The following is a 27,700-nucleotide window of genomic DNA, read 5'->3' as shown; positions in this document are numbered from 1 at the left end:
AATCAAAAGCTGATGAGAAAAGAAACCCTCAAATTCCTCTGCGCCATTTAACATTGGCTAATACCCTGACACATACAATCTTAGAGGATCCACACACACAAAAGTCTGATTCAGTAACCATGCACAGTAACCATGCACTCACTGTGCGTTATTTGTCTGATTCCATTGAGCTCCTGGCAGGGTGTCTGGCACAAAGCAGGGTGCTCAATGTCTGTGTCACAGAGTCCATTTACTGGGGATGTCTAGAATGCTGTGATTGTGTCAGAGGAAAGAGCCAGGGCTTCCTAAAATCTCCAAACCATCTTGCCTTTGGATGTATTTTCATGCAGGACTCAATCACTACATGTCTGTGCTGGCGCTTTTTCCACCTTTCAATTTTTATGTTATTGTACATACACTTTGGACAGGTTTTGCACAGCTTGGATAAGATTACGTGCCTTGCCAAGATGGAGGCTCTGCCATAAATGGAAACAAAAGAGAAATCAAATCACAGGTTAAAAGAGTTTTTCCAGCCACGAAATATTATCTTTTACTGCTTGTAGCTCTTTGCCACTTTCAGACTTTCCGTGACAGCCACTGGTGAGTCAAGGTGGCCGGAGCATCACACACTGCTTAGATAGAGCTCTAGCAGAATGGTAGTAAGACCTCTCCCAGGTGACTGCACCCACATAGAAAGTGGAGATCTGGGTGACTTTAAAGGAGATTGGTTACATTTAATAATGTATCTATTTAATTTGAGGTCCCTTTAGCTAACTAAGGCAGCATTGTGTTGTTAATGAGGACAAATTTCCCTAATATATATTTTTTGCTAACACTACATTTTTCCCTATAAAATTTTATAGACATGCCTCTTTCCTCTTTAGATTTGGAGGTTTTACTAGCTAACAAGACCAAGTGACTAGTAAAACTTTCAGGTAACTGTCAGCAGCTCTTAAATTCATATTGTAGTTTTAAAAATGGAGCTCTTTATAGGAGATCCTGTGTGAAGGCTAAAAGAAGAGGCTACAGTGGAATTTTCCCTCAGTCTCTGCATAGACTGTTGCCGGCAGTAATTCTCTTGTTTTATGTTCCCTCAGACAATACTTACTTTTCTGTGTATCCCAGATATAGTTGTTCAGAACTTCTCCCAGCAGGTACAGGAAGTTCATTAAGATGGTTGTAGACCCAAAGAAGATGATTCTGGCTCCTGGGCCAATGTGTTCCAGGAAAGGGTACACCCACATGCCAGTTACATGATGCACCCAGCACACCCTGCAAAAGAATCGGAAAGGAGACAAGGACAGGAGTCACTCTTATGGCAGGCATCAAAGCTGCTATGATGCAAATATACACTCCCTCACTCTCCCCATGCTTCAGCATTTGCCAGTCTCAAGTTCGCTTCTGATACTCAGGAGCTACTGGAAACTTGGTTGCTGTTTATTTTCATTTACTTTTTATTCTGAAATAATTTTAGACTCACAGAAGAAGCACAACACACTCAGCTTCCCCTCATGTTAACATCTTGTATAATCCTGGGACAATTGACTAAAATTAAAAAATTAACATTGATATGACAGTACTAAATTATAGGCTTTATTCAGAATTTCCCAGTATTCCTGTGAATGTCCTTTCTCTGTTCCAGGATCCAATCCAGGACCCCATGTGGTCTTCAGTCTTCACATCTCCGCAGTCTCATACTCTGGCAGTTTCTCAGTCTCTACTTGTCTTTGATGATATTTGAAGGGTATTTGAAATGGCTGACTTTATTAACACTGTTAAACAATCTGGTCATGTATTTGAAATGGCTGACTTTATTAACACTGTTCAACAATCTTTTAAATCTCTTCTTTACAGAATGAGACAATATGGCATTGGGCAACCACAGGAGAATAAGACCTAGGTGAGTCTGTGCCAGATACCTTGCCATATGGCCTTCCAACTAGACACCAACACTCATGCCATATGCTGACACAACCATGCATACCCTAGCAGGTACCAGCTTCCCACTCCTCTGATCTTCAGATGTGACATTGATTTCATTTTTTTTCCTATTTTACATTCTTACTTAATCATTCTCTTTGTGTTCCAGAAATATTTTTGACTCAGTGGGAATAGTAACATCATGAATTGCCACTGCTTTCAAAAGTTTAGTTAGAATATCGGCTCCATTGGCTTGGTCCTGACATGACTGCTTACAGCTGTTTTCCAAACATTCTTGAGTTCATTCCTTTATAAACTGTTGGCAATTGTGAAGACTAAATAAAATACAGATAACTCTATTGCATTGGGAATAAAGATGACTTTTCATACTTATGTGTTCTGAGGTCATTTTCCTTATCCTTGGCTTCACTCTAAGTGGTTTATCTACATATAAATATTACTGACAGGGTGCAGTGGCTCACATCTGTAATCTCAGCACTTTCGGAGGCTGAGGAGGGTGGGTCACCTGAGGTCAGGAGTTCAAGACCAGCCTGGCCAACATGGCGAAACCCCATCTCTATTAAAAATACAAAAATTAGCTGGGCGTGGTGGTGCGCGCCTGTAATCCCAGCTACTCGGGAGGCTGAGGCACAAGCATCACTTGACCCTGGGAGGCAGAGGTTGCAGTGAGCTGAGATCACACCACTGCACTCCAGCCTGGGTGACAAAGTGAGACTTGGTCTCAAAATAATAATAATAATAATAATAATAATAATAATAATAATAAACATTACCTACACATGTACCTCATTTTTGGCAGGAAACCTGGGGATCTATACCTGAGAACCTGCGTTATCAATGAGGGTGAGATCCCCCCTCTTCTTGCAGGCGAAAATTCATTCTGGGGTTGGTGGTAAAACAATTTTGCACTTTTTATGTAGAAAGCACAGATACACACACACACACATATACACACACACATATATACACACACACAGATGTACATATATGTATATAGAAACACATCAGTAGGTGAACAAACAATCAAATGTGGCATATGCATGCAATGGAATATTACTCAGCCATAAAGAGGAGTAAAATGTTGATACATGCTACAACATGGATGGACCTTGAAAACATTATGCTAAGCAAAATAAGCCAGACACAGGTCACATATTGTATATGATTCCACTTATATGAGGTACCTAGAATAGGCAATTTCACAGAGACAGAAAGCATGGTATCTATCAGTTACCAGGGACTCGGGGGAGTGGAGAATAGGGAGTTATTGTTTAACGGGAACAGAGTTTATGTGGGGGGATGATGAGAAAATTTTGGGTATAGATACTGGTGATGGTTACACAATGTTGTAAATACATTTAAGGACATTAAATAGTATACTTGCAAATAGCTAAAATGACAAATATTATGTTATGTATATTTTAGCACAATAAAAAATGTTCCTGTGGTGGAAATTAGGAAAAAAAAAACAGGTCTACAAAGGTTCCTTGGTAGAGGGAAGTAGTAATGAAAGAAAGATTGAGGAACAATCTTACAGCAAAGAGGCATTCTCTAGGTCTGTCCAGGTCAGTCTCAATCACTGTCCAAACAAAAATATTTGTATCAAAAAAAGAGGCCATGTTAGTCCAAAGATTCTGTTAGAAAAGCTGAAGCAGTTGTGAGAATCCGCAGAAATTAAATGGTTAGAACTACCCTGTGGGATTCTGAGATATCATATTGTTTGTCCATAAATTAGAAGCAGTTTCATCATTCTGACATTGTCTTAAATAATGTAAGGAAGGTGCTGTGTACCCATCAAATGGTTTATTAATTTCCATGGAGAGAATATGCAATATTCCCCCAATTTAACACCATTAAGCTGTAATTGATGTTGCAAATCAACTTATAAAATTTTAATCAGTCTGTGCTACAGGGTGTTTGCACTGGAGCAGTCGGATGGATCTGGATTAAATGTGAGTCAGGCCATGCCACTATTCTGCTCAAAACTTGCTTCCTCTCCCACTCAGAGTACAAGCCAGAGTCCCTAGATGGTTCTTCAAGGCCCTACCCCGCACTTTTCTGATTTAATCTCCTGTTATTCTCCCCATCGTTCCCCGCCACTCCAGCCCATCAACTCCTTGGTGTTCCTCGAACACTCTAAGCTCTCTCTGCCTCCAGGCTTTTGTATTATTCCCCTGCCCAGAACAATACTCCTCACCACCCCCACAGCATCCCCTTGGGCTCCCTTGTGTCCTTCGGGTTTTCACTCAAATGTCACCTTTCCAGTGATGTCTTCCCTGGCCACTGTATCTAAAAATTGCAACCTCTACCCTCAAACTCTCTATTCTTTCATCCTTTATTTTTTCTCCCAGCCAAATAATATACTCTACTTATTTTTATTTGTCTGTTTATTGTCTATTCAATGAGCAAAGGAATTTTGTCCAATTATGTTCATTGCTGTATTCTGTGGTTCTTGGAGCAGTATCTGGCAGAGTATGCACTCAATAACTATTTGTTGAATTAATAATCTAATGAAGGAATATAAACAGCAACATCTGTTTATTGAGCCATTACTATATGGCAGGCACTTCGCCAATAACTTATGAATTTTTTTTAATCTCAAAAAAAACCTCCAAAATCTTTATGCTTTTTGTCACTATATTTAATTTAAGTCAGGAGTAGGGAAACCTTTTCTGTAAAGAACCAGATAGTAAATATTCCCATATGGTCTCGATCACACCTACTCAACTCCGCCATTGTAGTGCAAAAGCAGCCATAGACAATATGTAAACGAGTGTGGATGTGTTCCAATAAAACTTTATTTATAGACACTGAAATTTGAATTAGATGTAATTTTCACATCATGAAATATTCATCTTTTGATTTTTTCAACTATTTAAAAATGTGAAAACCATTCTTAGCTTTTGAGTCATAAAACAAACAAACAAACAAAAATCCAGGTGGTGGGCTGGATTTGGCACACCGGCTGTCATCTGCTGACTACTTGTTTAAGTAGTTCTTTGTATTTCACAAAGTTCCTTCAGCACACAATGTCATCTAGTCTTCTCAGCAATTCTAGATATAGCATGGCATTCTCATCGTACTATTGTATGAATCAGAGCTTATAGGGTATAAATGAGACTATGTCAGAGCTGCTAATGTAATGTGAAATTCTCAGGTTTGCAACCTACGAGGCAGAGAAGCAGACAGCTCTTCTGAGTGTGGTGCTTATAAACATGAGATGTAATCTCCTTTACTTTGTACAACCACCCTATTAGGTATGATTATTCTCTTTAAACAGGTAAAGAAACTGAGATCAGACTAAAGAACTTATCATAAAACTGGCAAAGCTGGGAAAGAAGTGCACATCTGATTTCTTTTTTGCTGCATGGACTTGCTTCCCTAAATGAGGCATTCAATATTGTCTCCAAAATGGAATTGAGCGTTTCTTGTTTGTTTTGGTTTGGTTTTCTTAACTTGTTAGGTCATCAAACCATCTCAGATAAAGAAATCCTGTTATTTGGGGTTTCACCTGGATCAGTGTGAATGATGCATCCACTTGTCTTAACAAGTTGTGCTTTCACCATTTGTTTCCTTGATTTTTATCAGGGCTCAATTCTCTGCACAAAGATGACTCATGGCCTTGCCCATCTATCTGGAGAGTGCTTAGTTCTTGGCTGACTTTTAATTTCTCTCCTTCTAAGGTCTTCTTGTCTTAGTGATCAAATAACATATGCTTATGGTCATGGTACCAATTTTAATTTTAGCTTAAGAAATCAATAACCATGATATGTGTGCATACATATATATGCACATATTAGCATAATAAGATTTTTGGATGGTCTATTTTATTAAATGTACCTCCGTTTGCATTCACGTTTATGTACAATTAAAAAAATAACATTTATTCATGCCTCCTATCTGAGTGCTTTGTTACTCACAAATGATACAAAGTAAATGGCTTATATGAATGAATTAAATTACACATATACCTTGAAACTGTGTACATCTATAATGCATCGATGAAAAAAAGTAAATGAGGCAGAGCTAACTCCTGTCCTCATGGAGTACAGTGTAATGAGAAACACAGATAATTAAGAATTACAAGTGTAGTCAGAATTAAGAAAGGGTAAGTGTAGGCGTGCCATGGGTACACAGGGATTATTCCCCAACTTTTTTTAAACCTCCCACTTGCCTTTAGTCTTTCTTTCTCTTGTGTATTTAACTTTCTTTCAAACCAATGTTTTTCATAGCTGATGAATATGTTCAGATGCCTTTCATTAAAGCACAATCAAAAGTTTCCAAATACTTCACAAGTACTACTCAAGTCTCTCCTCTTCAAAAGCAAACTTCTCCAATAAGTGGTCCAGATTCACTGACACCATATCTGTACATTGTACTCACTTTCACCCACAGCAGTCTGGCATCTCTTCTTGCTATTCGACCAAAAGATACTGGTTTCTTTGACATCAATTTCTCTTGGTTTTCCTCCTACCACTTGGCTGTTCCTCTTCCCTTTGTCAGTGCACCCTTCACTACCCTACCACTAATTTTTGGATTTGCTTAAATCTTGGTTTCCAAACTGTTTTCTCTTATGCATTCTCAGTTGATGAGTTCATTCATGGCTATGGCATCATGTTCACTACTTATACACAGGTATTTTACAAACTTATATCCTAACCCAGATCTCTCCTCTATTCTAGGCAGTTTATCAAACTGTTCTTAAGACATCTCATTTTGCCCATCTTAAAGATACCTCAAACTCAATATATCTAAAGACAAAATCATGTTCTTTCTCCCCAAACCTCCAGTATTTCTTATTTCTGCAAATAGTACTATCATTCATTCAGTTTTGTAACTCAAACATTGCAAGTCATCTTTGATACTTCCCTCTCTTTCATCACATTTAGTTAATCCATTATCTTTTTTTTTTTTTTACAATTTTATAACTTTATTTGATGTATTTGACAATCAGCAGTTAGTTCTCATCCACATTGACTATCTGCAGATTTTTGAAAGTGGTAACAGGTACATAGGTAACTGAAGTATAGAGCTTATTTGGTGAATCTTCATCCTCAGAATATTTTCTGGACAACCACACATGGTTACAGTATGGGACATTCCTTATTCCTTTGGCCCAGACAGTTTTGTTGGGCCTGGTATCAATGCGCAAATCTGGAGTTCCCATCTCCTTCGTGGCAAATTTCCAGATCTCTTTGAGTGCCCAAGGGGCAGACTTCTTGAAGCCCACTCCATGGACGCGCTTGTGAATGTTGATGGTGTATCATCAACGAGGTCACCACCTTGTTGATGGCAGAGTGGCCCTTTTTGTCTTGCCATCCTTCTTTGTGAGAACCATTCTGCCAGGCCCAAGTTGGAAAGGAAGAGTGTAGCGATTGTCCAATCCATTAGCTTGTCTTATCAAGGTTACCCCTTACATCTCTCTAATATGTTGATTTTTCCCATGTGCATCACCAGCATCTTAATTTGTGTTAGAAGCATTTCTGTCTAGAGGACTGTGATAGTTTCTAATTTGTCTCTACATCTATTTTTTCCTCCTTCCATGTCATCCTCACTGCTGCCAGAGTGATCTTTCCAAACCAGAAGTATGAACACACCATATCCCTGCTTTCAACATGTCAAAGGCCTCCCACTGATTTTTTGTTAGAGACCCAAAGTTTCAACAAAGTCTAGAGTGCTCTTCATAGAGTGGCTTCTATCGGTCTCTTTGGCCCCATCCCATATCTTGCTCCTGTTCCTCTTTGCATTCCTGTCACACTGGCTTTCATTTGGTTCCTTGATCTTGTCATGTTCCCTCCTGCAATGTGGGTTTTCACATATTCTTCTTTCTGCCTGTACTGTTAGTTAGCCACCACTTAGAATAATTAGGTTATATGTATCTTTTCTATATTAGCTCAACTGGTACAACTGATCAATTATCACTTACTCCGGGAAAGTCTCCCCTGATCCATCAGATTAGGACAGATTTTTATAAGTTCTTATAGAACTAGGGCTCTCATTCATTTTTAAAGCTCTTTTATTCATACTTAAATTTGAATATCTTTATTTAAATAATATGTTTCTCCCCCTCTACAGTGTAAGTTCGGTGGGGTGAGGGACTGTTTATTTTTACCTCTCCTTGGATCCTCAGCACTTATCAGAATGCCTGTCACACACTAGAAGAATGAATGAATGAATAAAGTAGCATTTAAACTGTGATAGAAAGGATAAGAATTCATTGAGTAAAGATGGGAGGAAAGAACTTTCTAGCCAAAAAAAGGCATGTCTAAAGAACTGAGAACAAGAGAACGCTCCCAGAAGTTCAAGAAGAGAACACTTTTGTTGTGATCAAGGAAGAGAGGGCAGAAGGAGCAGGCAGGTGCCAAACCATGGGTTGATTTTTAAGCCATGGTAAGAATTGTAGACTCCGTCCTAGTGTGCAAATATAAAGTCTTTGAAAATAAATAAATCTGAAATAGATCAGATTGAGCTGAACCAATTGTATCAGAAATGGTAGTGGCTAGGAGAGGAACAATAGCATTGGCAATGAAAATTAGCTGAAAGATTTAAGAACACTTAGACCAGTGTCTATCAAACTGTTGAGTCATGAGTGTGGCGTGCTGGAGATTGTCATGAGAGCTGGTTGTTAAATCTTTAGGTGGTTTGCAAGCTGGTTGGTCAGTAGCTTGAATTCAGCCATGGTGGGAATAGTCACACCAAGGATATGGGCAAATGTTACACATCAGGTATTCCCTCCCTTGCCTCCAGAAGACCTAGCTGGTTGTTAAACATTTGTCAGTAACTCACTGTTACTAGCATTTTAAAACAGTAACAGAAGTGAACAGAGGAGAAAATATTACAGGGCCTTGCATATAATGATGATAAGAATTATTTTGTGAAACTTCTATTTCAGTTATGTGTGTATACCTGTAAAAGAAATTTGACAGGCACTGATTTAACAAATATAGTTAAGACAACATGGTGATTGATTAGATTTAGGCAATGAGGAAACTGAGATGAGTTAAGGATTAATCACAGATTCCTGGCTTGATTAGCAGGGTGGAAACAGCTGCCATTTCCTGAGAGAGGGAATGCTGTAAGGGAGCCTGTTTGAAGGGATGATGAGTTCAGTCTGGACATGTTGAGTTTGAGGTACCTGTAAAATATCCAAGTGGAGATGTTCTGAAGGCAGTCAGTTCTATGGATTTGGACTTTGAAGAAAGGACTGATTTGGCAATACAGGTATCAAGTTCATTGGCAAAAGAAGATTGTGGTTGAAACTATCAGGACAGACTGAGACCCAGGAAGAGTACAGGGTCTGAAGGAAGTGGGCCCATGAAAGGGCCTTGGAAAAGGTTAAGATTTAAGGGATAAGGTCAAGGATGATGAGCCTAAAAAGGAGATCAAGAAAGATGGGCTAGTAACAGGGAAGCAAAATAGAAAAGTGTGATGTTGTAAAGCCAAGGGACAAGTGGTTCAAAGGTAGACAGCATCTATTAGCACAGGGTCTTCATAGAGAATTATTAGAAAACTGGTTTGCCACCAATAAAGTGGAAGGGAAAGCATTTTCAGATTCCAAGTGGTATGTACAACATTCGAATCTACTTTGGATGTTGACTGGGTATAAATGATATATAGTCAGTTGAAAAAATGACATTGTCAAGCTCAGTAGCTCTTTTTGCTACATGGCCAAATTTCATCCTATTCTGTCATGAGTTGGGGTGGTCACTGGAGCCCTTGAGGGCGCAGTGAGGTCGATATATCATCCTTTACTCTTCTAGCTATGTCACCTTTCTATTTTTGAGATTACTTTAAAGAGGATTTAAAAACTTGCTCTATCATTCACATTTAGATAAGGAATTAGGTTGCTTGAGATCTAGGCTATTAGCACTGAAGACACAGACTCATATGCAATAAGAGCTAATTAGCTAACCACACTGAATGCACATGTGCTAAAGGCTTTATATGAGCAGCTCTTTGGAGAAGGTATTGTATTAGTACCATTTTACAGATAAGGACACTGAGGCCTAGACAGATTAAGTAAGTGGAGAATCTGAGATACACATTTCAGCAGTTTAGTGTTCAGCCTGGATGCCAAGCTCCTGTACTGCTCTGAAGGCTAGATGGTGATGGATGGGGACAGGGCTCTGGAAAGCTTTTCTTTTAATGTTTTGCTCAGAACAAAAAAATGATCTAAGTATAAAATCTCCCTGTAAAGTTTTTTTCCCACTGACTATAAAAGTAATTCATGCTCATTATAGAAAATGTGTGAGATACAGAAATGTTGCAAGATGCAAGATAAATCACTTTGGGTGAAGTTTTAACGCAAGACTAAGTGTCTTATAAAACGCAGAGTTCAGAATTTTACAACTTCCCCTGAGAAGGGGGAAGAAATGCTGCAGACATAAAGTAATAAACACTTCCTTCAGAGAAGGCACTGACTTACCTCTTAAGAAACAGTTACATCACATGTGCATTTAACCTACTGGAATTTACTGCATGGCTTGGCAGGCAATGAGCATGTGCCCCAGGGTGGGATAAGATATGGGATGTGCATCAGCTTCTCACCCAGTAGGTTTCTGTGAGCCTCTCATGGTACCTCCAACCTGAAGCTCCTGAAGGACTTTTCAAGGACAGGTTTGACTTTTGGCTCAAATGCTGATTTTAGACCTGGCCCTCTCTTGAGACCTAATGGTCTAATTTTAGAACCATTCTAAAGGTCCCTTGGACCATTGCCTGAGTATTGATTGCATGGAGACTGCTTCTTGCTCCATTTTTGAAAATCTGAAATTCTGCTGCAGTTTCCTAGAGTTCATGCACTCATTCATTTATTCAATGAATGTTTCTTGAGTCTTCACTCTGTGTCAGGTGGGGTGAGCAGCAGTGGGGATTGCGTGGCTGTGAGGGGCTCACAGTGTGTGTGGGGGTCTGCCAAGATTCCTGATGAACAGCCTGTAGGTCCCAGGAATAGGACAAAGGACATCAGCTTAGATGGAAACAGGGCTCAAAATGGTCTCCTTAGTAAAGTGTATGGTAAAGCCAAAAAATTAATGCATCAATTTCAAATAGAAGGAGCCAATCTGAAATAATATTGAAATCATCTCTAACTCAGGTACAAATATCATTGTAGAAGTCCATTTTTGATATACAGTGGGTTTACAGTATTTTTCAAGACAATATTTTAAGGTATAATCATAGTTTAATATTCATCAAAGCTGTCCCAATTTTTTTTCAGTGGAGCTAGCCCAAATGTACAGAATCTGGGAGGTATCTATACATGGGGCAGGCTTATGCATTTGTATCCTGTGCAGTCACACAGGGTGTTGTGCTCAGAAGGGGATCACACTTGGTTTAAGGATATGCTGTCACCATCTTGAAAGTCTTACATCATTTTTGAACAAGGGGCTCTGCATTTTTATTTTGCACTGGGCATCACAAATTTAACTGGTCCCGCCTACGTAGTTATGAGATCAACGATTAACTGGTCCTGCCTACGTATATTTGGGATCAACTCTGAGCTCATCCACAAATTTGTTAGTTCACCTTGGATACTATTTAACTTCATTGAGCCTCAGTTTCCCTTTTGGTAAAGTGCTATAAACCATACAGCCTACCTTAGAGACGTGGTCATCAGATAATGTAGTTTTTGGCATAGTCAATTTATGTTAGATTAAAAAAAAGCAAACAGAACAAACAAAAACTTTCTACTGCTTCTCCTTATGCAGAAATATATAATATTTTTCTGTACTTCTCACATGCAAGAATGTTTTCAAGGTTACAAGTCCCTCCGCCCATCCCTGGAGAAAGAGGCAAATTGTGAATGCCTCCCAGAATGAATTCCTGTAATGAGGTAATGTGCTTTCTTCCTGATTCTAAATCACAAATATCAGAGTGATTAATCCATAAAGGAGGCCAATAATCTCCTTCAGAACATTTTCCTCCAACACATTTCCTGGCACACGTCTACAGTGATTTTAAGTGATGTGCTTCCATGCAGTCCCACTTTCTAAAGTCTACCTGGTTTTATGGTGATGTTACCCTGGAGAGAATTCAATTTGAATTCCCCTGAATAACATTCATGACCTGTTTTGCTTAACTGGAATCATTTGGAGCTTCTCAAGGCACATAGATGCCAAACATTAAGTAGAGACATCGAACATTGTAGGGAACATGTGTTCTTTCAGAAGGGAGGTAGGGAGTGTGGTTAGCAAGGCACTGTAACGGCCCAAGCAATCATCAAAACACGGCAGAACTGCTAGCTCTGGAGGGGGAGGAGGAAGAACATCTGAAATTCCACAACAGAAAATCATAATTTTCCATATTTTGCAGAAATTATCTTCAGTGTCTCTCTCTGGCATCGCTTATATCCCTCCCTCCACTAGATGCTTATTTTTGGTACTGCAAACAATGTCCTGATATCCCAGCCATGATAATGTCTTCCTTGATCTCGCTACCTCCTTGGACTACCAACCTCTCTCTCTCATCACCAACCTCCTTTAATAAAGAGCAAATTTCCAGACCTTTCTGAGTTCCTGCTCTATGCCAGTGCCTGATGTCAAACTGTAGTAAGGCTATCTCTGTATCATTTGTCACATCTGTCCTCTGGGTGCTGCTTCTACCACTGTGAAATGTTTCTTATATATTTTTTTCATTCAACAAATACGTATTGGCGCCTAGAAGGTGTCAGACCTGTGAATACAGCAGTCTATGAAGTAGATGTGGTCCCTGCCCTGTGACAGAGCTCCCAGTCTATCAGCAACACAGACATTAGATGACACCACAGTATCACACCCTCACTAAGCAAGGGAAGGGTGGTGGTGTCAGGTTTTTTTCCCAGTTGTGTTGTAGTGTTCCTTTTTAATGTTTATCAGAATGAAACCATCAAAAGTTCTAAAATGTTTATATTAAAAAAGCAGAAACTCCCTGCCCCACCAACTGCCCTTTAGTTTCCTCTTCATGCCCTGTTCTGCCCCAGAGGAAGCCACATTCAACCCTTTCAGCGGTTCCTTCTAGATTTCATTTCATTTCATTTTAATTTTTTTTTTATACAGTCTTCCTCTTGTCGCCCAGGCTGGACAAGTGACCTCGGCTCACTGCAACCTTTGCCTCCCAGGTTCAAGAGATTCTCTGCCTCAGACTCCTGAGTAGCTGGGATTACAGGTGCGTGCAACCACACCTGGCTAATTTTTGTATTTTTAGTAGAGATGGGGTTTCGCCATGTTGGCCAGGCTGGTCTTGAACTCCTGGCCTCAAGTGATCACCCGCCTTGGCCTCCCAAAGTGCTGGGATTACAGGTGTGAGCCACTTTGCCTGGCCTAATTCATTTTTTAAAAATTGAAGTATGATTTATATACAAGAAGGTATACATAATTAATGTATACATGATGAGTTTTCAGGTAAGTATAAGTCCATTGAAACCATCACCATAAACAGTGCCATAAACATAACCATCACCTGTAAAACCTTCCTCTCTGTTTTTTGGTGATACAAACATTTAACATAAGATCTACTCACGGCCGGGTGCAGTGGCTCACGCCTGTAATCCCAGCACTTTGGGAGGCCAAGGTGGGTGGATCACCTGAGGTGGGGAGTTCAAGACCAGCCTGGCCAACATGGGGAAACCCCATCTCTACTAAAAATACAAAATTAGCCAGGGTGGTGGCACATGCCTGTAATCCCAGCTACTTGGGAGGCTGAGGCAGGAGAATCGCTTGAACTCGGGAGACAGAAGTCGCGGTGAGCCAAGATTGCGCCATTGCACTCCAGCCTGGGCAACAAGAGCGAAACTCCTTCTCAAAAAAAAAAAAAAAAAATCTACTCGCTTAACAAGTTTTAAGTACACAGTAGAATATTGTTAATTACGGCTTTTATGCTGTACAGTAGATCTCCAGGACTTAGCTTGTATAACTGAAATGTACCCTTTGACCAACACCTCCTTGATTCCCTTCCCAGCCCCAGGTAACCACCATTCTACTCTCTGCTTCTATGACTTTGGCTATTTTATATTCTTGATATAAGTGGGATCATATAGTCTGGTTTATTTCACTCAGAATAATGTCATTTCGGCTTAATCCACATTTTAGCAAATGGAAGGATTTATTCCTTTTTAAGGGCTGAATAACATTCCATTCTATGTCTATACACCTTTTATTTATCATTCATCTCTCATTGGACATTTAGGTTGTTTCCATGTCCTTACCACAGTGAATAATGCTGCAAAAACATGGGAATGCTGATGCCTCTTTGAGACCCTGATTTCAACTCTTTTGGGTATATAACTAGAATCCTGGATCATATGGTAGTTCTGTTTCTACTTTTGAGGATCTTCCACACTATTTTCCATAATGGCTGCACCAATTAACATTCCCATCAACAGTGTACAAGGGTTCCCTTTTGTCCATATCCTTGCAAACACTCATCCTTTTTTTTCTTTATAATAGCCATTTTAACTGGTGTGAGGTGATATCTTATTGTAGCTTTAATTTGCATTTCCCTCATGATTAGTGAAGGGGAGCTTTTGTATATTTGCTGGCCGTGTGTGTCTTTTTTGAAGAAATGTCTATTCAAGTCTTTTGCCCATTTTTTTGATCAGGTTATTTTTTATTTATTTTTTTGCTATTGCATTGGATGATGTCCTTATAGATTTTGGATATTTATTCTTTATCAGCTATAATTTACAAATACTTTCTCCCATGCCATAAGTTGCCTGTTCACTTTGTTGATTGTTTTGCTATGCAGAAGCTTTTTAATATGATGCCGTCTCATTTCTCTATTATTGCTTTTGTTGCCTGTTTTTTGGCATATAATCGTTCATAATAATCCCTTAAAATCTTTTCATTTTATTGCTTCAGTTGTAATGTTTCCTCTTTGATGTCTGATTTTATTTATTTGAGTCTTCTCTTTTTAAAAAGGTAATCTAGCTAGGGGCTTGTTGATGTTGTTTATCTTTTCAAAAAAAAACCCAACTCTTAGCTTTGTTGTTATCTTCTTTTAAAAATTATTATGTTTCATTTCAATAGTTTTTGAGGAACAGGTGGTGTTTGATTACATGGATAAGTTCTTTTGTGGTGATTTCTAAGATTTTGTTGCACCCATCACCAGAGCTGTGTACATTGTACCCAACGTGTAGTTTTTTATTCCTTACTCCCCTACCACTCTCCCTGGAGTCCCCATAGTCCACTGTATCATTCTTATGCCTTTGTGTCGTCATAGCTTAGCTCCCACTTATCAGTGAGAACATATGATGTTTGGTTTTCCATTCCTGAGTTACTTCACTTAGAATAATGGTCTACCATTCCATCCAAGTTGCTGCGAATGCCATTATTTCATTCCTTTTTATGGCTGAGTAGTATTCCGTGGTGTATACATACCAAATTTTCTTTATCCACTTGTTGATTGATGGGCATTTGGGCTTGTTCCATATTTTTGCAGTTGTGAATTGTGCTGCTATGAACATGTATGTGCAAGTGTCTTTTTCATATAATGACTTATTTTCCTCTGGGTAGATACCCAGTAGTGGGACTGCTGGATCAAATGGTAGATCTACTTTTAGTTCTTTAAAGAATCTCCACACTGTTTTCCATAGTGGTTGTACTAGTTTACATTCCCATCAGCAGTGTAAAAATGTTCCCTTTTCCCCACATCCAGGCCAACATCTATTATTTTTTATTTTTTGATTAAGGCCATTCTTGCAGGAGTAAGGTGGTATCACATTTGGTTTTGATTTTCATTTCCCTGATCATTAGTGATGTTGAGCATTTTTTCATGTATTTGTCGGCCATTTGTATATCTTCATTTGAACATTGTCTATTTATGTCCTTAGCCCACTTTTTAATGGGATTTTTTTTTTTCCTTGCTGATTTCTTTGAGTTTCTTGTAGATTCTGGATATTGGTCCTTTGTTGGATGTACAGATTGTGAAGATTTTCTCCCGCTCTGTGGGTTGTCTGTTTACTCTGCTGATTGTTTCTTTTCCTGTACAGAAGCTTTTCAGTTTAAGTTTCATCTATTTATCTTTGTTTTCATTGCATTTGCTTTTGGGTTCTTGGTGATGAAGTCTTTGCCTAAGCTAATATCTAGAAGGATTTTTTTGATGTTATCTTCTAAAATTTTTATGGTTTTAGGTCTTGGATTTAAGTCTTTGATCCATCTTGAGTTGATTTCTGTATAAGGTGAAAGATGAGGATCCAGTTTCATTCTTCTACATGTGGCTTGCCAATTCTCCCAGCACCATTTGTGGAATAGAGTGTTCTTTCCCCACTTTGTGTTTTTGTTTGCTTTATCGAAGATCAGTGGCTGTAAGTATTTGGCTTTATTTCTGGGATCTCCATTCTGTTCCATTGGTCTATGTGCCTATTTTTATACCAGTACCATGCCGTTTTGGTGACTATGGCCTTACAGTATAGTTTGAAGTCTGGTAATGTGATGCCTCCAGATTTGTTCTTTTCGCTTAGTCTTGCATTTTTTTGGTTTCATATGAATTTTAGGATTGTTTTTTCTAATTCTGTGAATAATGATGGTGGTATTTTGATGGAAATTGCCTTGAATTTATAGATTGCTTTTGGCAGTATGGTCATTTTCACGATATTGATTCTACCTATCCATGAGCATGGGATGTGTTTCCATTTGTTTGTGTAGTCTATAATTTCTTTCAGCAGTGTTTTGGAGTTTTCCTTGTAGATGTCTTTCACCTCCTTGATTAGTTATATTTCTAAGTATTTTATTTTATTTTTTGCAGCTACTGTAAAATGGGTTGAGTTCTTGATTTGATTCTCAGCTTGGTCACTGTTGGTGTATAGAAAAGCTACTGATTTGTGTAGATTGATTTTGTATCCTGAAACTTTGCTGAATTCATTTATTAGTTCTAGGAGCTTTCTGGAGGAGTCGTTAAGGTTTTCTAGGTATACAATCATATCATCAGCAAACAGTGACAGTTTGACTTCCTCTATACCAATTTGGATGCCCTTTATTTCTGATTGCTCTTGCTAGGACTTCCAGTATTATGTTGACTAAAAGTGGTGAGAGTGGGCATCCTTGTCTTGTTCCAGTTCTCAGAGGGAATGCTTTCAACTTTTCCCTGTTTGGTATTATGTTGGCTGTGGGTTTGTCGTAGATGGCTTTATTACATTAAGGTATGCCCCTTCAATGCCAATTTTGCTGAGGGTTTTAATAATAAAGGGATGCTGGATTTTGTCAACTGCTTTTTCTTCATCTATTGAGATGATCATGTGATTTTTGTTTTTAATTCTGTTTATGTGGGGTACCACATTTACTGATATGTGTATGTTAAACCATCCCTGCATCTCTGGTATAAAACACACTTGATCATGGTGGATTATCTTTTTCATATGGTGTTGGATTCGGTTAGCTAGTTGAGGATTTTTGCTTCTAAGTTCATCAGGGATATTGGTCTGTAGTTTTCTTTTTTTGTTGTTATGTCCTTTCCTCGTTTTGGTATTAGGGTGATACTGGCTTCATAGAATGACTTAGGGAGGACTCCCTCTTTCTCTACTTTTTTGAATAGTGTCAATAGGAATGGTACCAATTCTTCTTTGAATGTCTGATAGAATTCAGCTGTGAATCCAACTGGTCCTGGATTTTTTTTTTTGTTGGCAATTTAAAAATTACCATTTCAGTCTCACTGCTTGTTACTGGTCTGTTCAGCATTTATATTTCTTCCTGGTTTAATCTAGGAGGGTTGTATATTTCCAGAAATTTATTCATCTCCTCTAGGTTTTCTAGTTTGTGTGCATAACGGTATTCATAGTGGCCTTGAATGAACTCTTGTATTTCTGTGGTATCAGTTGTAATATCTCCCGTTTCTTTTCTAATTGAGCTTATTTGGATCTTCCCTATTCTTTTCTTGGTTAATCTCGCTAATGGTATATCAATTTTATCTATCTTTTCAAGGAAACAGCTTTTTGTTTCATTTATCTTTTGTATTTTTTTTCTTTGTTTGTTTCAATTTCATTTAGTTCAGCTCTGATCTTGGTTACTTCTTTTCTTGTGCCGGGTTTGGGTTGGTTTGTTCTTCTTTCTCTAGTTCTTTGAGGTGTGGTCTTAGATTGTCTCTTTGTGCTCATTCAGAGCTTTTGATGTAGGCATTTAATACTATGAACTTTCCTCTTAGCACTGCTTTTGCTGTATCCCCTTTTGCTGTAACAGATTAACAGCAGATTTCTCAGCAGAAACCTTACAAGCTAGAAGGGATTGGTGTCCTATCTTTGGCCTCCTTAAACAAAACAATTATCAGTCAAAAATTTTGTTTCCAGTGAAACTAAGTTTCATAAGTGAAACTCCCTATGGGAGAAATTGTGGGCAAAGGGGATCTTTCTTGGTACTGTGCTGTGGTAGCTTAGGGGAAGTGTAAATCTGATAGAGGGAAACTACTCATTTTATCCTTTTAAATGCAGCTTTTCTCAGATATTTTGCACCATTGGTGTGCTGCAACCTTTTTCTTGGGTTCCCTAAATCTCACAAAGGCATTCTTCTTCATGAATAGTTGCTTAATCAGTGTTTTTTTGGGGGTAATGGCCAAGGCTGGAGACCTCCTATTCTGCCATGCTGCTGATGTCAACCTCTTTCTGGGTTTTATACCCCTATGTCTTAACAATATCTATATACTGCTATTTCTTGATTTATCAGTTTTATGTATTATCATCTGATTTCCTAAAATAAAAGATATGGCTTCAGTCCTCTTACAATCTCTCCCCTCTTTTTTTCCCCTATCTGTTATCAACTAAGTTTAGTTTTATCATATTTTGAGAAACTAAATCAGTACTCAGTATTTATGATTATTATGATTATGTAACCTTTGCTCATGGCTGAGTCAAGTGGATTATTATTGTTTTCTCATGCCTTTGGTGTTGTATCTAAAAATTCTATGTCAAATTCAAATTCCTTATATTTTCTTCTAGAATTTTTATAAGTGTCAACTTCTACATTTAAGTCTATGATCCATTTTGGGTTAAATTTTGTGAAAGGTGTAAGATTTATGACTTGATTCAGCTTTTTACCATATGGACTTCCAATTGCTGCAGTGCCATTTGTTAAAAAGATGTCCTTTCTCTCTTGAATTGCCTTTGCTCCTCTGTCAAATATCAGTTGCCTACATTTGTGAGAGTCTATTTCTAGCTCTTTATTTTGTTCCATTGGTCTATGTGTCTATTCTTTTTCCAACTCCACAATATCTTGATTACTGTAGCTTTACAGTAAGTTTTGAAGTCAGGTAGTGCCGGTCCTCCTACTTTGTTCTTCTTCAACACTGCACTGGCTGTTCTGGGCCTTTTGACTTTCAATATAAACTTTAGAATCAGTTTTTGCTATCTACAAAATAACTTACTGGGATTTTTGGTTAGGCTTACATTAAACCCTTTTCCCATTTGCCCTGAGAATACTTGCCGGCAGTGCTTGCAGCTGTCGCATTTACCCCGATATACTTTTGCCACGAAATATCTCCCTTTTATTATTATTTTCGCATTGCTTTAGTATATCAACTTTGGAAACAAAAGACATCATTCTATTTATAGCATTCTGTTTTTGGTAGTGGTATTTCCACTTAGAAAATATAGTAATTCTCGGTCACTGAATATGTAAAATTCTAGAAAATGTAGCATTCCTACATGTGATATTAACATCATTCTCCAACAGTTGTTGGCCAAAGATTCATTTGACGAATCCAGTTTTTCCAAAATAGATGATTCTGATGATTCAGACAATTCTGATGTTAGTTTTGTTTAGAAATAACTCCAAGAACAGTTTTTATATTTTCACATTGAAAATCAATCAGATTTGCTTCATCCTCAAAGAGTGTGTTTATGTAAAATTAAATGAGTGCTGGTAGTGAGCTGTACTTTTTTATTTTCTAAATGGAAAAGGGTTAAATCTATAGATTAAGCTGGAGAAGAACTGGTATCTTAACAATATTGGGTATTGCCATGCATGAACACAGAATATCGTTCTACTTACTCACATCTACTTTCTTTTGTGAGAGTTTTATAGTTTATTGCATATAGATCCTGTGCATATTTTATTAGATGTTATCTAAGTATTTATTTTTTGGTGCTATTGTAAATGGTATTGTTCAAACTTCAAATTCTGACTCTTTACTGTAGTTATAGGAAAGCAATTGATTTCTGCATATTAACCTTGTATTCTTCAATATTTTTATAATTACTTACAAGTTCCAGAAATTAATTATTTGGGATTGTCTGCATAGATAATCATGTCATCTATATAAATAAAGACAGTTCTTTCTCCCTTTTCTCTCTCTTTCTCTCTTTCTTACAGGATCTCACTCTGTCACCCAGGCTGGAGTGTAGTAGTAGGATCATAGCTCAACTCCTGGGCTCAAGTGATCCTCCTGCCTCAGTCTCCTGAGTAGCTGGGACTATAGGCATGGGCTACCTCACTCAGCTACTTTAACTTTTTTTTTTTTTTTTTTTTTTTTTTAAGAGATGGGTTCCAGCTTTGTTGCCCAGGCTGATCTTGAACTCCTGGCCTCAAGCAATCCTGCAGTTCTGGCCTTCTAAAGTGCAAGGATTATAGTTGTGAACCACTGTGCCCAGCCCAGTATTTTTTCTTTCTTCCCAGTTTGTATTTACATTTTATTTCCTCTTCTTGTCTTATTGCAATAAGTAGGATTTCCTATATGATGCCGAATAGGAGTTGTGAGAGGGAATATCCTTGCCTTGTTCCCAATCTTAGGAGACAAGTATCAAGCTTCTTAGTTTAAACATGTTAGCTGTAGGGCTTTTTAATTTTAATTTTTAATTTAAATTTTTAAAAAGTTTTGATTGTTGTGGGTTCATAGTAGGTGTATATATTTATGGGGTACATGAGATATTTGGATACAGGCATACAATGCATAATAATCATATCAGGGTAAATGGGGTATCCATCACCTCAAGCATTTATCATTTGTGTTGCAAACATTCCAGTTATACTCTTTTAGTTATCTTTAAATGTTATTGACTATAGTTACCCTTTTATTGATATCAAATACTAGATCTTATTCATTCTTTTTATTGTTGTACCCTTTAATCATCCCCATTTAACCCTCATTGCCACCATTAACTTTTCACGCCTCTGATAACCATCCTTCCACTACCTATCTCCATAAGTTCAACTGTTTTCCTATTCAGCATCCACAAATAAGTGAGAACATGTGAATTTTGTCTTTCCGCGCCTGGCTTATTTCACTTAACGTAATGACCTAAGGTTCCATCCATGTTGTTGCAAATGGCAGAACCTCCTTCTTTTCATGGCTGAGTAGTACTCCATTGTGTATATGTACCACATTTTTCTTTATCCATTCATCTGTTTTTGGACACATAGGTTGTTTCCAAATCTTGGCTATTGTGAATAGTGTTGCAATAAACATGGGAGTGCAGATGTCTCTTCAATATACTAATTTCCTTTCTTTTGGGGTCCCTAGCAGTGGGATTCCTGGATCATATGGTAGCTCTATTTTCAGTTTTTTGAAGAGGCTCCAAACTGTTTTCCATAGTGGCTGTACTAATTTACATTCCGACCAACAGTGGACAAGGGTTCCCTTTTCTCCACATCCTCCCCGACATTTGTTATTGGCTGTCTTTGGATAAAAGCCATTTTTACTGGGGTGAGATGGTATCTCACTGTAGTTTTGATTTGCACTTCTCTAATGATCAGTGATGTTGAGCACCTTTTCCTATACCAGTTAGCCATTTGTATGTCTTCTTTTGAGGTCTATTCAGATTTTTTGCCAATTTTTGAATCAGATTATTATTTTTTCCCTATAGAATTGTTTGAGCTCCTTGTATATTCTAGTTATTAATCCGTTGTTAGACAGGTGGTTTTCAAGTATTTTTTTTCCCAATCTGTGGGTTATCTCTTCACTTTATTGATGGTTTCCTTTGTTGTGCAGAAGCTTTTTAACTTGATGTGATCCTATGTGTCCATTTTTTGCTTTGGTTGCTTGTGCTTGTAGGGTATCTCAAGAAATCTTTGGCCAGTCCAATGTCCTAGAGAATTTCCCCAATGTTTCTTATAGTGGTTTCATAGTTTGAGGTATTAGATTTAAGTCTTTAATCTATTTTGATTTGATTTTTCTATATAGCAAGAGATAGGGGTCTAGTTTCATTCTTGTACATATGGATATCCGGTTTTCCCAGCAACATTTATTGAAGAGACTGTCCTTTCCCTAATGTATGTTTTTGGCACCTTTGTCAAAAATGGGTTTATTGCAGTTCTTTGGATTTGTTTCTGGGTTCTCTATTCTGTTTCATTGATCTGTGTCAGCTTTTATGCCAGTACTATGCTGTTTTCATTAATATATCTCTGTAGTATAATTTGAAGTCATGTAATGTGAGTGTTTCAGTTCTGCTCTTTTTGCTCAAGATAGCTTTAGCTATTCTGGGTCTTTTGTAGTTTCACATAAATTTTAGCATTGCTTTTTTCTATTTATGTAAAGAATGCCATTGGTATTTTGATAGGGATTGAATTGAATCTGTAAATTGCTTTGGGTAGTATGAACATTTTAATAATATTTATTCTTCTAATCCATGACCATGGAATATCCTTCCGCTTTTTGTGTGTCCTCTTTGATTTCTTTCACCATGTTTTATAGTTTTCATTGTAGAGCTCTTTCACGTCTTTGTTAAGTTGATTACTAGTTATTTAATTTTCCTTGTAGCTATTGTAAAGGGGGTTACTTTTTGATTTCTTTTTCAGATTCTTCAATGTTGGCATATTGAAATGCTACTGATTTTTGTATGTTGATTTTGTATCCTGCAACTTTACTGAATTTGTTTATCACTTCTAACAGTTTTTTTGTTGGAGTCTTTAGGTTTTTCCAAACATAAGATCATACAAACAAGGATAATTTGACTTCCTTTCCATTTTGGATGCTCTCTATTTCTTTCTCTTGTCTGATTGCTCTAGCTAGGACTTCCAGCTATAAATTTTTAATAGATGTTCTTCATCAACTTGAGGGAGTTCTCTTCTATTTATAGTCTTCTGAGAGGTTTTTTTCCTTTAAATCACAAGTGGATGTTGGATTTTATCAAATTCTTCTTGTGCATCTTTTAATACGATCATATGATTCTTCTTTAGCTTATTGATGTTGTGTATTACATCAATTGGTATTTGAATGTTGACCATCCTTGCATGCCTAGAATACATTCCACTTGGTTTTGGTGAATAATTATTTTAAATTTATTTTATTTTTAAATTGATACACAATATTTGTACATATATTTATGGGGTACATGCAATATTTTGTTATATGCATAGACTGTGTGCATATACTTGATGCATGATCAAGTCAGGGTATTCGGGAGTCTCCATCATCTTGAGTATTTATCATTTCCATATGTTGAGAAAATTTCAAGTCCTCTCATCCAGCTATTTTGGAATAATTGTTTTTATACATTGTTCAATTGGATTTGCAAACATTTTTGAGGATTTTTTGCATCTATGTTCATGAGAGATACGTGTCTGTAAGTTTTCTTTCTTGTAATGTATTTCTCTAGTTGTTTTGGTATTAAGGCAATGCTGGCCTCAGAGAATGAGTTAGGAGGTATTCCCTCTGCTTCTATTTTCTGAAAGAAATTGTGAAGAATTGGTATCATTTCTTCCTTAAATGTTTGGTAGGATTTGCCAGTGAAGCCATCTGAACCTAATGTTTTCTGTTTTAAAAGGTTACTAATTATTCATTCAATTTCTGTAATAGAGACAGGTCTATTAAGATATTATTTTTCTCTTTGCATGAGTTTTGGTGATTGTTTCTTTCCAGGACTTGATCCATTTTATCTAGATTATCAAATTTGTGGGCATAGAGTTGTTCATAATATTCCTTTATTATTCTTTTAATGTCCATAGGCTCAGTAGTGGGATTCCTCTTTCATTTATTATATTAATAATTTGTATATTCTTTCTTTTTTTCTTGTTGAGCCTGGCTGGAGTTTTATAATTTTATCAATCTGTTACAATAATCAGCCTTGGCTTTTATTGTTTTTTTTTAAATTTTATTTATTTCTTCTTTAATTTTTATTATTTCATTTCTTCTTCTTACTTTTGACTTAAATTGTTCCTTCTCTAGTCTTACATCAGATTAGAAACTTCTAATATATGCATTTAATGTTAAATTAACCTCTAAGCACTACTTTCCTTGCATCTCAAAAATTTTGGTGAGTTATATTTTCATTTTCTTTTAGTACAAAGTATTTGTAAATTTCTCTTGCCACTTCTTATTTGAACCATGGGTTATTTATTAGTGTGCTATTTAATTTCCAAATACTTTGGACTTTTCTAGCCATTTTTCTTTTATTGATTTCTAGTTTAACTCCCATGTTGACTGTGAACATACTTGGTATGATTTCTATTTTTTTAACTCTGTTAAGATATGTTTTATTGCCCCGAATAGGGTTGATATTGGTGAATGTCCTACATAAGCTTGAGTGGAATGTGTAGTCTGCTTTTGATGAATAAAATATTCTATAGATGTCAATTAGATCAAGTTGATTGATGGTTGTTCAGGTCAACTATATCTGTATGAATTTTTTGCCTGCTTTATCTAATAATTGCTAAAAGAGGGGTGTTGAAGTCTCCAATTATAATAGTGGATATGCCTATGTTTCCTGGCAGTTCTATCAGTTTTGTCTCATGTATTTTTATGCTCTGTTGTTATGTGCATATACATTAAAGATTATGTCCCCTTGGTGAATTAATCCCTTCATTATTATGTAGTACTCCTGTTTATCTCTGATAATTTTCCTTGTTCAAAGTATGCTTTGTCTGAAATTAATATAGCTAACATCAGATTTATTTTGATTAGTGTTAGCATATCTTTCTTCATCATTTTACTCTTAGCCCAGCTGTGTCTTTATGTTTAAAGTGAGTTTCTTGTAGAAACATGTATAATATTTTAGTCTTGTTATTTTATCTAATGTAATAATCTTTGTCTTTTAATTGGTGTATTAGGCTATTCACATTTAAAGTGATTATTGATATAGCTGGATTAATAACTACCATATTTTAACTGCTTTCTATTCATTGCACTGGGCATTTCTTTCTTTTTTTATGCCCTTCCCCCTTTCTGTTTTCTTTGGTTTGAGTATTTTATATGATTCTGCTTTTTCTTCTCTCTTACAATACTTCTGATTCTTAAAAGTATTTCTTTTTATAATTTTTCTATACTATAATCAGCTAATAAGTTGTTGCCTTTGTAACATTAAAAAGCACTTCTCTAATACCTCACTTAAAAAGAAAAATCATATGTTTTATTTCAGGATTATTTATTCCTTATTCTATGCTCTTCTTTTAGTGTAGATCCATGTTTCTGAACTATATTTTTCTTCTCCTTGAAGAACATCTTTTAATATTTATTCTAGGGTAGGTCTGTGGATTATGAATTCTCTCCATTTTTGCTTGTCTGAGAAAATAGTTCTTCTTTACTTTTGAAAGATAATTTCCCTAGATATAGAATTCTAGGTTGACGGCTTTTGTCTTTCAATACTCAATACTTTTAATATTTTACTCCATTCCCCTCTTGCTTGCATGATTTCTGATGAGAAGTATATTATAATTCTTATCCTCTTTCTCTATAAGTAAAAGGAAGCCCCCCACTCTCCCACTCCCCACCACCAGCTTCTTTCAAGATTTTCTCTTTGGCTTTGGTATTTGTAGTTTTTCTTTTAAATATATTTTTTAAATATATTTTATATATGGCAGAAACTTTACACACCCCTATGGATGTTACACTCAGACTGTTTATGATAAAGGCTAAAACTACAAGGGAAAGCCATACAATGCTTTGTGGAAATTTCACAGATTAAAGTAACTAAAATGGAGGCACTAAAGGCGTACTCATTCATAAATGTTTTCAGGTATCGTATAGGAAGGAGAAAGGTAAATTAAATTAAGAGTTAGAGCTTTTACTCTTTCCTGAGTAAGTGGCAGAAATGATGTTTTGGTAGGACTGAATACCAGAACAATGTTAAGTCTGAGTACATTATTCTCCTTATTTGAATGACTGAGTACTAGTTGACTTCCCTGTTGACCTCAGAACAAGCCAGACAGCATAACAAAGCCCCCACATGCTGCTATGAACTCAAATAATCAATTCACAATCAAAGAGAAGTGACGCTTATCAGAATGCATTTATTTTAGACAATAGAGACAATGAGCAAGCCCAGGTGTTGAGTCACTGGAAAAAATGAGGACACATAAACTAACAAAAATCCAAAGCTGTTTTCATTCCTCAATGTTATCCTTATACCTTAAAAAGTAGAATTCTTGTGGAAGCAGCCAAGATGGCCGAACAGGAACAGCTCCGGTCTACAGCTCCCAGCGTGAGCGATGCAGAAGACGGGTGATTTCTGCATTTCCATCTGAGGTACCAGGTTCATCTCACTATGGAGTGCCAGACAGTGGGCACAGGACAGTGGGTGCAGCGCACCGTGCGCGAGCCGAAGCAGGGCGAGGCATTGCCTCACTCAGGAAGCGCAAGGGGTCAGGGAGTTCCCTTTCCTAGTCAAAGAAATGGGTGACAGACGGCACCTGGAAAATCGGGTCACTCCCACCCCAATACTGCGCTTCTCCGATGGGCTTAAAAAATGGCACACCAGGAGATTATATCCCGCACATGGCTCAGAGGGTCCTATGCCCATGGATTCTCACTCATTGCTAGCACAGCAGTCTGAGATCAAACTGCAAGGCGGCAGCGAGGCTGGGGGAGGGGCGCCCGCCATTGCCCAGGCTTGCTTAGGTAAACAAAGCAGCTGGGAAGCTTGAACTGGGTGGAGCCCACCACAGCTCAGGGAGGCCTGCCTGCCTGCCTCTGTAGGCTCCACCTCTGGGGGCAGGGCACAGACAAACAAAAAGACAGCAGTAACCTCTGCAGACTTAAATGTCCCTGTCTGACAGCTTTGAAGAGAGCAGTGGTTCTCCCAGCACGCAGCTGGAGATCTGAGAATGGGCAGACTGCCTCCTCAAGTGGGTCCCTGACCCCTGACCCCCGAGCAGCCTAACTGGGAGGCACCCCCCAGTAGGGGCAGACTGACACCTCACACTGCCAGGTACTCCTCTGAGATAAAACTTCCAGAGGAACGATCAGACAGCAGCATTCGCGGTTCACGAAAATCCACTGTTCTGCAGCCACCGCTGCTGTTACCCAGGCAAACAGGGTCTGGAGTGGACCTCTAGCAAACTCCAACAGACCTGCAGCTGAGGGTCCTGTCTGTTAGAAGGAAAACTAACAAACAGAAAGGACATCCACATCAAAAACCCATCTGTACATCACCATCATCAAAGACCAAAAGTAGATAAAACCACAAAGATGGGGAAAAAACAGCAGAAAAACTGGCAACTCTAAAAAGCAGAGAGCCTCTCCTCCTCCAAAGGAACACAGTTTCTCACCAGCAACAGAACAAAGCTGGATGGAGAATGACTTTGACGAGCTGAGAGAAGAAGGCTTCAGACAATCAAACTACTCCGAGCTACAGGAGGAAATTCAAACCAAAGGCAAAGAAGTTGAAAACTTTGAAAAAAATTTAGACGAATGTATAACTAGAATAACCAATACAGAGAAGTGCTTAAAGGAGCTGATGGAGCTGAAAGCCAAGGCTCGAGAACTACGTGAAGAATGCAGAAGCCTCAGGAGCCGATGTGATCAACTGGAAGAAAGGGTATCAGTGATGGAAGATGAAATGAATGAAATGAAGCGAGAAGGGAAGTTTGGAGAAAAAAGAATAAAAAGAAATGAACAAAGCCTCCAAGAAATATGGGACTATGTGAAAAGACCAAATCTATGTCTGATTGGTGTA

At 37.7% G+C, this 27,700-nt stretch overlaps 1 protein-coding gene and 1 pseudogene across 20 annotated transcripts in view, besides 1 other annotated feature; both read right to left on the bottom strand.

Moving 5' to 3' along the window:
- Window positions 1-27,700, bottom strand: part of AIG1 (androgen induced 1) — a 284,671-nt gene that overhangs the window by 9,351 nt on the left and 247,620 nt on the right. For 14 of the 20 annotated variants that reach the window (NM_001286587.2, NM_001366345.1, NM_001366352.1 and 11 more), the window contains one exon: window positions 1,088-1,251. In NM_001286587.2, the coding sequence (NP_001273516.1) occupies window positions 1,088-1,251 (164 nt within the window). Of the gene's footprint in view, window positions 1-142; window positions 456-1,087; window positions 1,252-26,016; window positions 26,406-27,700 lie in introns of those variants that run through there. The other 6 variants (NM_001366347.1, NM_001366348.1, NM_001366361.1 and 3 more) reach the window with 3 other exon arrangements.
- Window positions 367-1,566: an enhancer, noted in NCBI's record as "CDK7 strongly-dependent group 2 enhancer chr6:143654104-143655303 (GRCh37/hg19 assembly coordinates)". NCBI's record gives its function as "activates an origin of replication core promoter dependent on BRD2, BRD4, P300/CBP, MED14 and CDK7 cofactors, with strong dependence on CDK7, by STARR-seq in HCT116 cells {active_cell/tissue: HCT116}" and the evidence as "EXISTENCE:reporter gene assay evidence [ECO:0000049][PMID:35650434]".
- RPL31P27 (ribosomal protein L31 pseudogene 27) lies at window positions 6,908-7,299 on the bottom strand (annotated as a pseudogene).

Source organism: Homo sapiens, chromosome 6, assembly GCF_000001405.40.
Source record: "Homo sapiens chromosome 6, GRCh38.p14 Primary Assembly".
NCBI classification, from domain to species: Eukaryota; Metazoa; Chordata; class Mammalia; order Primates; family Hominidae; genus Homo; species Homo sapiens.
This window is presented reverse-complemented; position numbering and strand designations above follow the sequence as displayed.